This window comes from Homo sapiens, chromosome 9, assembly GCF_000001405.40.
Source record: "Homo sapiens chromosome 9, GRCh38.p14 Primary Assembly".
NCBI lineage: Eukaryota > Metazoa > Chordata > Mammalia > Primates > Hominidae > Homo > Homo sapiens.
In genome coordinates, this window is record NC_000009.12 from 92,191,476 (window position 1) to 92,204,607 (window position 13,132).

Sequence of the window (13,132 nt, forward strand, 5' to 3'; positions counted from 1 at the left end):
ATGCCTGTCATCCCAGCTACTCAGGAGGCTGAGGCAGGAGAATCAACTGAACCCGGGAGGAAGAGGTTGCAGTGAGCTGAGATCGCACCATTGCACTCCAGCATGGGCAACAGAGCAAGACTCCATCTCAAAAAGAAGATTCATTCATGTTACTGCATGATCAATAGCTTGTTCCTTTTATCACTAAATTGAATTCTGTTTTATGGATATACCACAGTTTGTCCATTCCCCTGTTGATCATTTTGGCTGCTTCCCGTTTTTAATGACTAGGAACAAAGCAGTGAATGTTGCATGCAGGTTTTATGTGGACATACTTTTCAAATCAGTTGGGTAAATATCTATGAGTGCTTTCGGGTTCCATGGTAGGCGTATACTTAGCTTTGTAAGAAACTGCCAAACTTTCTTCCAGATGCTGTATCATTTTGCATTCCCCCAGCAGTGGATGAGAGTCATTGTTGCTCCACATTCCCCCAGGCCCCGCCTTTTCCCTCCAGGCATCTGTGAAACGCACAGTGCACACCCAGCTGCTCTGGCCTGGCCCCCAGCCTCACCTCAGCACCATTTCCTGCTGCATCACTCTGGCTGCAGCTCAGCGGCTCTTTCCCCCTGGCCCTCTGTCCCCACCCCGCTCACTGTTCACTGGGTGATATGGTTTGGCTGAGACTGGATAATTTAATTCCATCTCAAATTGTAATCCCCATAGTCCCCATGTGTTGAGGGAGGGCCTGGTGAGAGGTGATTGGATTGTGGGAGTGGTGTCCCCCAGGCCTGTTGCCATGTAAGATGTGCCTGCTTCCCCTTCCGCCATGATAGTAAGTTTCCTAAGGCCTCCCCAGCCATGCAGAACTGAGTCAATTAAACCTCTTTCCTTTATAAATTACTCAGTCTCGTGTGGCGACTTTATAGCAGAGTGAAAACTGACTAATACACTGGGCCAGTTCCTTGTCTCTCTGTAGATCTGGGCTTGCATATGCGTACCTAGGAGTCCCTTCTCCTCACACTCTCTGTTTTTTGTGGGTTGTTGTGGCTTTTGTTGTTTTTGAGACAGGGTCTCATTTCGTCGCCCAGGCTGGAGTCCAGAAATGTGATCACCGCTCACTGCAGCCTCAACCTTCCAGGCTCAGGCAATCCTCCTGCCTCAGCCTCCCAAGTAGCTGAGATTCTACAAGTGCATGCCACCATGCCCAGCTAATTTTGTGTGTGTGCGTATTTTTGTAGAGATGGGTTTTACCATGTTACCCAGGCTGGTCTCCAACTCCTGGGCTCAAGCGATCCTCTTATCTTGGCCTCCCAAATGTGGAGTCTTAATTAGGGAAAAGGAGTCAGGCTGGTGGGACCAAATCAAAGCAAAGAGATAAAGCAGATAAGCTGTAAATATGCTTTTCTTCACGGTTCAGGACATATAAACAAAAAGAGAAAGCAGAAGAATTATAGGTCTGTTTTTCCTTATTGCCCAGGACATACAGACCTCCTGAACAAACAACATACATAACTCTCAAATTTCTGCTTAGCATCAAATGCCTCAATTTATCAAACATCCTGGCTGACAGAAGAGTGCAAGTTTGCAAGTTAGTTCCCAAGTTCCATTCTATAAAATCCTCAGCAAGCATTTGTTTCCTGGCAGTTAGCTTCTCTCTTGCAGGCTGCCCATTGCCTTATCACAATGTATTTTCCTACTTTCTTTAATACATCTGCCTTTCTCTACCTACAGCTGTCTTGGTAGTTTCTTTTACCTCCACGCCACCAGCCCAGATAGTCGTTGCTCCCCGGTGACACTTGGGTGGCCCATACGGGGACTCTCTCTCCTATTGGGAAACTCTCTCCCCTCTCTCTTTTCATTTCCCAACTCAGGACCCTTAGCGGACAAAGTCTAAGCACAGAGGCAATTGCAGGTCTCTGGTCGGAGTGACACGCTGGTGAGACTGAAAGGTGTCTGTGTGGAAGCATCTAACCACCACTGCCCATTCAGGTGAGAGACCTAAGGGTTTTTTTGTTGTTGTTGTTTGCTTTTTTTCGGTCTTTCAGAGGCTGGCTTCTAGTATCTCTCTGGCAACTGACAGTAACTGGCTGGAGCTACTCCCCAGTGTTCCCTGAAAGCCAAAGAGTGAACAGGGCTAGCTATACCACCTATAAGGGTGAAAGGCTCTCTCCTATATGTTCTGGCTAGAAGTCCCTAACCCCTATGTGTAACATGACTGACAGCAGAATAGATTTTTAAATCAACTTTATTAAAGCATACTTTATATACTATGAAATCCACTTATTATATTTTAGAGTTTAATGAGATTTGACATAAGTATGTGCCAATGTAACCATCACTACAATCCAGGTATGTCATATTTCTACCACTTGAGAAGGTTCCCTGTGCTTTCTCCAGTCCATCATGGCCCACTTCAACCTCACCACCCACTGGGAAAAAAAAGAAAAAGAAAGGAAGGAAAGAAAAAAAAAGAAATATGGTCCCAGACAAGCATTGATCTGCTTTAGATGTCTTTTTTTTTTTTTTTTTTTGGGATGGAATCTCACTCTGTCGCCCTGGCTGGAGTGCAGTGGTGCGATCTCAGCTCACTGCAACCTCTGCCACCCGGGTTCAAGCGATTCTCCTGCCTCGGCCTCCCAAGTAGCTGAGATTACAGGCGCCTGCCACTGTGCCCAGCTAATTTTTGTATTTTTAGTAGAGACAGGGTCTCACCATCTTGGCCAAGCTGGTCTTGAACTCCTGACCTCGTAATCCACCTGCCTCGGCCTCCCAAAGTGCTGGGATTACAGTCATGAGCCACCATGCCCGGCCTAGATGTCTTTTTCATACAAGTTGAATAGTAACACAGGTATATTTAGGGATCTGGCTTCTCTCAGCATAATGTTTTGGAGATTCATCCATGTTGATGAGCAATAATAATTATTCTTTTTTCCCTCTGAGAAGTAGTACATTGTAAAGATATAACTCAATTTATTAACCTTTTCACAGACATTTGGATAGCTTTAAATTTTTTATTGTTATAAATAAAGCTGCTAGGGGCATTCCTACATAAGCTTTTATATGGACATATGCTTTCATTTTTTTTCCCGGTAACAACCTAGGAGTGCAATTTCTAGGCTGTTTGGTAAATATATATTTGATTTATAAGAAATTGCCAGCTGGGCATGGTGGCTCACACCAGTAATCCCAGTACTTTTGGGAAGGCAAGTTGAGAGGATTGCTTGAGGCCAGGAGTTTGAAACCAGCCTGGGCAACATAGTGAGACCCTGTCTCTACAAAAAATAAATAAATAAATAAATAGTTTTAATTAGCTGGGCATGATGGTGCATACCTCTAGTCCTAGCTACTTAGGACGCTGAGGCAGGGCGATCACTTGAGCCCAAGAGTTTGAGGTTATAGTGAGCTATGATTGCACTACTGCACTCTAGCCTGGGTGACAAAGTGAGACTCTGTCTCTATTTAAAAAAAAAAGAACTTGCCAACCTGTTTTGGAAAAAGATTTTATCCCTTTGCATTCCCACCAGCAGAGTTTTTGTATGCTCTGAATTCTGTCCAACACGCTGTAGTATCAGTCTCTGAAATTTTAGCCATTTGAATGATAGTATAGTAGTATTTGATTGTGGTTTTAATTTGCATTTTCCTGATGACTAATGATGTTGAGCACGTTTTCACATGGTTTTTTTGGCCTATTTCTCTATCTCCTTTTCTGAAGTATCTATTAAAGACATTTACCTTTTTTAATTGGGTTGTTTTTTATTATTGAGTGATAGAAGTTCTTTATATATTCTGGATACAAGTCCTTAGTCAGAAATAAGTTGAATGTTTAGAAATAAAAAATGCATGGCCTGAAATTAATATTTATTATGGGCAATAAATGGCAGAATAAAAGATTAGTGAGCTTGAAGACACAGGATTAGAAATTACCTAAAATGAGAAATGACACAGAGGGAAGAAAAGAGTAGAAAACAGAGAATCAGTGATGTGCATGGGACAATTTAAAGGGGCTTAATATAAATTTAATTGAAAACTCCAAAGGAGGCAGGGGCATACAAAAATATTTGAAGAAATTAAGGCAAAACATCCCCAAATAATGAAATCCATGAACATACATATCCAAAAATCGCAAGAAATGCAAAGAAAACTACACCATGCACATCATAATCAAATTACTTAGGCTGGGATCTGTGGCTTATGCCTATAGTCTCAGCACTTTGGAAGGCCAAGGCAGGAGGATCACTTGAGGCCAGGAGTTGAAGACCAGCGTGGGCAGGTGGTGAGACCCCATCTCTACAATGCAAAATAAAAAAAAAAAAATTACTTAACCAGCTATAAAGAGACAAAAGGAACTAGGAAAAAAAAGGAAAATTTACAGGGAATAAAAAATAAGAATAAGGGCTGGGCATGGTGGCTCACGCCTGTAATCCCAGCACTTTGGGAGGCCAAGGCAGGCAGATCACCTGAGGTCAGGAGTTTCAGACGAGCCTGGCCAACATGGTGAAACCCCATCTCTACTAAAACACATACACACATACACACATACACACACACACACATACACACATGCGCACACACACACACACACACACACACACACACAGAAATTGGCTGGGACCTATAGTCCCAGCTACTCAGGAGGCTGAGGCAGGAGAATCGCTTGAATCCGGGAGGCTGAGGTTGCAGTGAGCCAAGATTGCACCATTGCACTACAGCTTGGGCAACAGAGACAGACTCCGTCTCAGAAAAAAAAAAAAAAAAAAAAAAAAAGAATGAAACAAACTTCTTATCATAAACAATGGAAGACAGAGGGCAATGGAACACTGACCTTTAAACTACTAAAAGTTTCTAAAAAGCTGTCAGCTCTAAAGTAAGGGGGTAGGGAGACAATAAACATAAAAGCAGAAGCCAATGATATATAACACAGAAAAAGAGAGAAAATTGATTTTTTAGGACATTAATGAAATCAATAGAAGAGAGGAGGTGGAGCAAGATGGCCAAATAGAACCTTCCAGTGATGGTCCCCCTACAGGAACATCAAAATGAACAATGATCCACTCAAGAAAGTACCTTCATAAGAATGAAAAAATCAGATGAGTAATTACAGTACCTGGTTTTAACATAATAATGACAGAGGCCTGGAAGAGGGTAGGAAGGACAGTTTCACATTGCCTACAGCATCCTTTTCCTAACCCCAGGCAGTGCAATACAAAGAGAGAATCTATGTTCTTGGGGGAAGGAAAGTGAAGTGAGTGTAGGACTTTGCATTGGAAATCAGTGCTGCCCTGTCACAGTGGCCCATAACACAGGGCAAAATTCTGCTGGTGCCCAAGGAGGGAGTATTTGGACCAGCCCTAGGTCAGAGAGGAATCCCTCATACCAGCGGGAGGAAACTGAGTCCCAGCTGGCTTAACCACCAGCTGACTAAAGTAGCCTTCATCTTGAATAAACATCAGTGGCAGCCAGGTTGTAGTGGCCATGGGCTTTGGATGAGCCTCAGTACTGTGCTGTTCTGGAAAGCTGTGGGCTTCAAGTGCCATTCAACATGGAGCCAGCTATGGTGGCCATGGGAGTGCCTACATCACCCCTCCTTCAACTCCAGGTAGCTCAGTGTAGTGAGAGACTCCTGATTAGGGGAAAGAGAGGGAAGAGAGTGACGAATTTTGCCTGGTAACCCAGGAAATTCTCTCTTATCTTTCCCAAAGCCACCAAGGTCACATGTCTATGAGTCTACAAGAGTTGCAGCATTCCTGGACTTAGGGCACTCACAGTGCTAAAACAGCTAACAATGACCACAGGCTTATGTAACAACACTCAATCCCATTTCAATTACTGAAAGCCTTCTCAAAAAGGATGGATACAAACAAGTCCAGACTACAAAGACTGAAATAAATACCTAACTCTTGAATGCTCAGATATCATTGAACATCCACAAGAATCAAGAGCATCCAGGAAAACATGATCTCACCAAATGGACTAAATAAGGCACCAGTGACCAATTCTGGAGTGATTAAAGATATGATCTCTCAGACAGAGAATTCAAAATACCCATCTTGAGGAAGCCCAACAACTTCAAGATAACACAGAGTAGGAATTCAGAATTCTATCAGATTAATTTAATGAAGAATTAACATTTAAAAATCAAGCAGAGGCCAGGCACAGTGGTGCACGCCTGTAATCCCATCACTTTGGGAGGCTAAGGTGGGTGGATTACTTGAGGTCAGGAGTTCCACACCAGCCTGGCCAACATGGGGTTTAGTAGAAACCCTATCTCTACTAAAAATACAAAAAATTAGCTGGGTGTGGTGGTGCATGCCTGTAGTCCCAGCTACTCAGAATGCTGAGACAGGGGAATCACCTGAACCTGGGAGGCAGAGGTTGAAGTGAGCTGAGATTGCACCATTGCACGCCAGCCTGGGCAATAGAGTGAGAATCTAGCAGAAATTCTGGGGCTTAGAAACTCAATTGACAATCTGAAAAATGAATCATAATCTCTCAACAGTAGAATTGATCAAGTGGCAGAATGAATCAGTAGATTCAAAGACAGGTTATATGAAAGCACACAGTCCAAGGAGAAAAAAGCAAAAATACGTAAAAGAGAAGGAAGCAATATTACAAGATCTAGAAAATAATCTCAAAAGGGCAAGTCTAGTAACTATTGGTCTTAAATAGGAGGTAGATGGAGAGACTGGGGTAGAAAGTTTATTCAAATAAATAATAACAGAGAACCTTCCAAACTTAGAGACATGAATACCTAGGAACATGAAGATCAAGAACACTTAGAATATTCAAGCCAAATAAAATTACCTCAAAGTATACAATAAGCAAACTCTCAAAGGTCAAAGATAAAGAAAGGATCCTAAAAGCAGCAAGAGAAAAGAAGCAAATAACATAAAAAGGAGCTCCAATACACTTGGCAGCAGACTTCTCAGTGGAAACCTTACCAGCCTGAGGAAATAGAATGACATTCAAAGTATTAAAGGAATAAAAACTTTGGACTAGAATATTATACCCAGCAAAATTATCCTTCAACATAAGAAGAAATAAAGACTTTCTCAGACAACAAAAGCTAAGGGATTTTGTCAATACCAGACCTGTTTTACAAGAAGTTCTTCAATATGAAAGAAAAGGACATTAATGAGTAACAAGAAAGCAACTGAAGATATAAAACACACTGGTAAACTTAAGTACACAGACAAATACAGAATAGCCTAATACTGTAATTGCATTATTTAAACCACTCATATCGTTAGTAGGACTAAAAGACAAATCTATCAAAAATAATAATGACGGCCAGGTGTGGTGGCTCACACCTGTAATCCCAGCACTTTGGGGGGCTGAGGTGGGCGGATCACAAGGTCAGGAGATCGAGACCATCCTGGCTAATACGGTGAAAACCATATCTACTAAAAATACAAAAAATTAGCCAGGCGTGGTGGTGGGCACCTGTAGTCCCAGCTACTTGGGAGGCTGAGGCAGGAGAATGGTGTGAACCCAGGAGGCGGAGCCTAGAGTGAGCTGAGATCGTGCCACTGCCCTCCAGCCTGGGCGACAGCAAGACTCCATCTCAAAAAAGAAAATAATAATAATAATAATGATAATAATAATGACAACATAGGAGGCTGAGGTGGGCGGGTCACTTGAGGTCAGGAGTTTGAGGTGAGCCTGGCCAACATGGCAAAACTCTGTCTCTACTAAAAATACAAAAATTAGCCACGCACGGTGTTGCACACCTGTAATCCCCACTACTCACAAGGCTGAGGCATTAGAATCACTGGAACCCAGGAGACGGAGGTTGCGGTGAGCTGAGATCATACCACTGAACTCCAGCCTGGGCGACAGAGTAAGACTTGACCTCAAAATAATTATAATAATAACGACAATTTCTTAAGAGATAGATGATATAAAAAGATATAATTAGAGAAACCCTCCCCCCAAAAAAAGGCAAAAAACAGCCATTGAGGCAAGGGAAGATGGAGTAACATTGTAGAGTTTTTTTTTTTTGAGTTTTCTCTTTGCTTGTTTGCTTTTTTTCCTTTTTTCTACTCAGTGTTAAGTTTTCATCAGTTTAAAATAACTAGTTATAAGCTGTTACTAGCAACCCTTATAATAACCACAAAGCAAAGACCTATCATAGATACACAAGAAATAAAAAAACAAGAAATTAAAACATATTACCAGGGAAAATCACTTACAAAGGAAGACAGAAAGGAAGTAAGAAAGGAAGAGAGGACCAACAAAACAACCAGAAAAAATGAACAGAATGGCAGCAGTAAGTTCTTACCTATCAATAATAACATTGAATGTCAATGTACTAAGTTCTACAAATCAAAAGACATAGAGTGGCTGAACAAATTTTTAAAAGACGCAACTATATGCTGCCTACAAGAAACTCTCTTCACCTATAAAGACACACATAGACTGAAAATGCAGGGATGGAAAAAGACATTCCATGCAAATGAAACACCCCCAAAAAGAGCAGGAATAGCTATATGTATTTCAGATAAAATAGATTTTTAAGTCAAAACCTGTGAAAAGAGACAAAGACGGTCATTATATGATGATAAAGGGGTCAATTCAACAAGAGGTTATAATAATTGTAAACATTAATGTACCCAGTGCTGGAACACCCAGATAGATAAAGCAAATACTATTAGGATTAAAGAGAGAGAGAGAGAGAGTTCCCAATACAATAACAGCTGGGGACTTTGACACTCCACTTTCAGCATTGCATAGAAAATCTAGACAGACAATCATCAACAACAACAACAAAAACCCTTATCAGACTTAATCTGCATGATAGACCAAATGGACCTAATAGACATTTACAGAACAGTTAATTCAACAGCTGCAGAATACACATTATTCTCCTCAGCACATGAAATATTTTCAGAGACAGACCATATGTTATGCCACAAATCTTAACAAAGTTTTAAAAATTCAAATAATAGCAAGTAATTTTTCTGATCACAATGGAATACAACTAAAAATCAATAACAAGTAGAACTTTGGAAACTGGAGATACTGGCTGGGCACTCACACCTATAATCCCAGCACTTTGGGAGTGTGAGGTGGGTGCATCACTTGAGGTCAGGAGTTTGAGACCATCCTGGCCAACATGGTGAAACCTCGTCTCTACTAAAAATACAAAAATTAGCTGGACATGGTGACATGTGCCTGTAATCCCAGCTACTCAGGAGGCTGAGGCAGGAAAATCGCTTGAACCTGGGAGGCAGAGGTTGCAGTGACCCAAGATTGACCCACTGCACTCCAGCCTGGGCACCAGAGGGAGACTCCATCTCAAAAAAAAAAAAAAAAAAAAAAAAGAAAGAAAGAAAGAAAGAAAAGAAAGTATAGAAACACATGAAAATTTGACAACATGCCTCTGAACAACCACTGGGTCAATGAAGAAATTAAGAAGAAAATTTAAAAATTTATTGAAAGAAATGGAAATGAAAACACAACAGAATGAAACCTATGGTATACAACAAAAGCAGTGCTAAGATAAAAGTTTACTAGAATAAATGCTTACATCAAAAAAGTAGAAAAACTTCAATTAAACAACCTAACAATGCATCTTAAAAAGCTAGAAAAGCATGGCCGGGTGTGGTGGCTCATGCCTGTCATTCCAAAACTTTGGGAGGCCAAGGCGGGTGGATTACTTGAGCTGAGGAGTTTGAGACCAGCCTGGGCAACATGGTGAAACTCCATCTCTACAAAAAATAGCCAAGCATGGTGGTGCACACCTGTAGTCTCAGCTACTTGGGAGGCTGAGGTGGGAGGATTGCTGGAGCCTGGGAGGCGGAGGTTGCAGTGAGCGGAGATTGTGCCACTGCACTCCAGGCTGGGTGACAGAGTGAAACCCTGTCAAAGAACTAGAAAAGTAAGAGCAAACCAAACCCAAAATTAGAAGAAAAGAAATAATAAAGATCAAGCAGAAATAAATAAAATTGAGACAAATAATATACAAGATAAAAAAGTTGGAGTTTTGAAAAGAAAAACAAAATCTACAAACTTTTAGCCAGATTAAGAAAAAAAGGAGAGAAGAACCAAATAAATAAAATCAGAGAGAAACAGGAGACATTACAAATAAACCGCAGAAATTCAACGATCACTAGAGGCATAAGCTCTATGCCAATAAATTGAGAAGCATATAAAAAATGGATAAATTCTTAGACACATACAACCTACAAAGATTGAACCATGAAGAAATCCACAACTCAAATAGACCCGTAACAAGTAACAAGATTGAAGCCTATAATAAAAAAAGTCTCCTGTCAAAGGAAAGCCCAGGATCTGATAACTTCACTGCTGAATTCTACCAAACATTTAAAGACAATCTAATACCAGTCCTATTCAAACTATTCCAAAAAATCAAAGAGGAGGGAATGCTTTCAGATTCATTCTAAGAGGCCAATATTACCCTGATAACAAAACCAGAAAAAGACACAACAAAAAGGCTGACCCAGTGGTTCGCACTTGTAATTCCAGCACTTTGGGAGGCTTAGGCAGGAGGATTACTTTTGGTCAGGAGTTTGAGACCAGCCTAGGCAACATAGCAAGACCCTGTCTCTACAAAAAAAAAAAAAAAATTTAGCTGGCTGTGGTGACATATGTCTATAGTTCGAGATACTCAGGGGTCTGAGACAGGGAAAACTGCTTATGTCCAGAAGTTTGATATTTTTGAGGTTACAGTGAGCTATGATCATGCCACTGTACTCTAGCCTGGGTGACAAAGCAAGACTCTTGTCTTAAAGAAAATCAAAATGGTAAATTTTAGGTATATTTTACCATAATAAAAATAAAGGAAGTTAGTTGGACTACAAAAAAATAAATTTCCTTCAATACAGAATATGGGAGGAGTTCACAGTGTTGAGATAATGGGAAGCAAAATACCATGAAGTAAGAGGTTGATAATAGTGCCCAAGTCAAGATAAATACTCACAACATATTGCCAATAAGAAAAGGCATTGCAAATCTCCCACTGACATAGAAGGAAATGACCTAATATGATGACCTTTTACCAGTGATATGGTTTGGCCCTGTGTCCCCATCCAAATCTCTTGTTGAATTGTAACCCCTAATGTTGGAAGAGGGATGTGGTGGGAGGTCATCGGATCATGGGGGTGGATTTCCCCCTTGCTGTTCTCGTGATAGTGAGTTCTCACGAGATCTGGTTGTTTGAAAGTGTGTAGCACTTCCCTCTTCGCTTTCTCTCTCCCGTCACCATGTGAAGATGTGCTTGCTTCCCCTTCACCTTCGGCCATGATTGTAAATTTCCTGAGCCCTCCCCAGCCATGCCTCCTGTACAGCCTGTGGAACTGAGTCAATTAAACATTTTTAAATAAACTGTCCAGTCTCAGGTAGTTTTTTTTGTTTTTTGTTTTGTTTTGTTTTTTTTGAGACAGGGTCTCTCTCTGTTGCCCAGGCTGGAGTGCAGTGGCGCAATCTCGGCTCACTGCAACCTCCGCCTCCTAGGTTCAAGTGATTCTCATTCCTCAGCCTCCGGAGTAGCTAGGACTACAGGCACATACCACCACATCCAGCTAATTTTTTGTATTTTAGTAGAGACAGGGTTTCACCATGCTGCCCAGGCTGGTCTCGAACTCCTGAACTCAGACAATCCGCCTGCCTTGGCCTCCCAAAATGGTAGGATTACAGGCGTGAGCCACTGCACCCAGCCTCAGGTAGTTCTTTACAGCAATGTGAGAACAGACTAATACAACCAGCAAGAGAAAAACCTAAAGTAAAACAGCAAAAAGTGCAACCAACATTTATACATAAGGATTATATACAATGTGTAACAATAGTAAAGTGTTAAATTCTAAAAGATGGCTTTAGAATTGCGGATAGACTTTTGTTTGTTTCATTTCAGATCATGACCTTGAGCTGCATGACAGTCTTTTTTATTTTTGAAATTTTCTGTAGAGATGGGATCTTGCTACGTTGCCCAGGCTGGTCTTGAACTCCTGGGCTCAAGTGATCCTCTCCCCTTGGCCTCTCAAAGTGCTGGGATTACAGGCATAAACCATGCCACCCAGCCCCACTTCTTCTAATGAGGTAGCTGTCATTTACATTCTCATTTAATAGAGCAATGTGCTGTCTCATTCAGCAGAGCTTTTCACGGGAGGTCTGATGAGCAAGAAGAACAGGCTTGTGAGAGCAAATAACTAAGACCATAAGCAGAGGCCTGAGGTGGAGCTTTCAGCACAGACTGAACAACTCAGGCCCTCTCAGACAGGCCACCTGCACATGAGTATCTAAGAGGGGACCAGAAGACCCCTGTGAGGGCACCCACCCTGGAGCAGCATTCAGGGAGAGCTGGAAGGGCTTTATGGGGCTAAAGAATTGATGGGCAATTGGAGTGGGTTGTGGGAAAGTATTAAATTATGTTTGCGTGAGCCTTGCCATCAGGAACATGTTTTATCTTTAGCTGATGGCGACACTGCTAGAAGTAAATAAGCTCTTCTCATGAACCAAAATTCCCAGTGGCACTATGGAGTCCTGGTTAAGTTGACAGGTCTCTGGCTGAGGGAACACAGAATCCACTTTCAGCAGCTGTGTTAAGAGACAGTTAACCATGAGTCCATTATAGCATTACTTTGCTCAGGAACCAATCACAGAAAAGGCCATATGTGGACATAGTGAGAAGATGGCCAGCAGATAATGTCAAGGAGAGAGGCCTCAGGAGAAACCAAACCTGCTGACACCTTGATCTTGGACTTCCAACCTCTAGAAATGTAAAGAAATAAATTTCTGTTGTTTAAGCCACCCAGTCTGTGGTATTTTGTTATGGCAATCTTAGCTAACTAATATAAACATTATTTCTCTCTTCCATTTATATAGGCTTTGTTTTTTTTCTTTTCTTTTTTTTTTTTTTTTGAGACGGAATCTTGCCCTGTCACACAGGCTGGAGTGCAGTGATGCAATCTCGGCTCACTGCAACCTCCGCCTCCTGGGATCAAGCAATTCTCTGCCTCAGCCTCCCGAGTAGCTGGGATTACAGGCACTCGCCACCACGCCTGGCTAATTTTTTTGTATTTTTAGTGGAGACGGGGTTTCACCATGTTGGCCAGGCTGGTCTTGAACTCCTGATCTTGTGATCCACCTGCCTAGGCCTCCCAAAGTGCTGGGATTACAGGTGTGAGCCACTGTGCC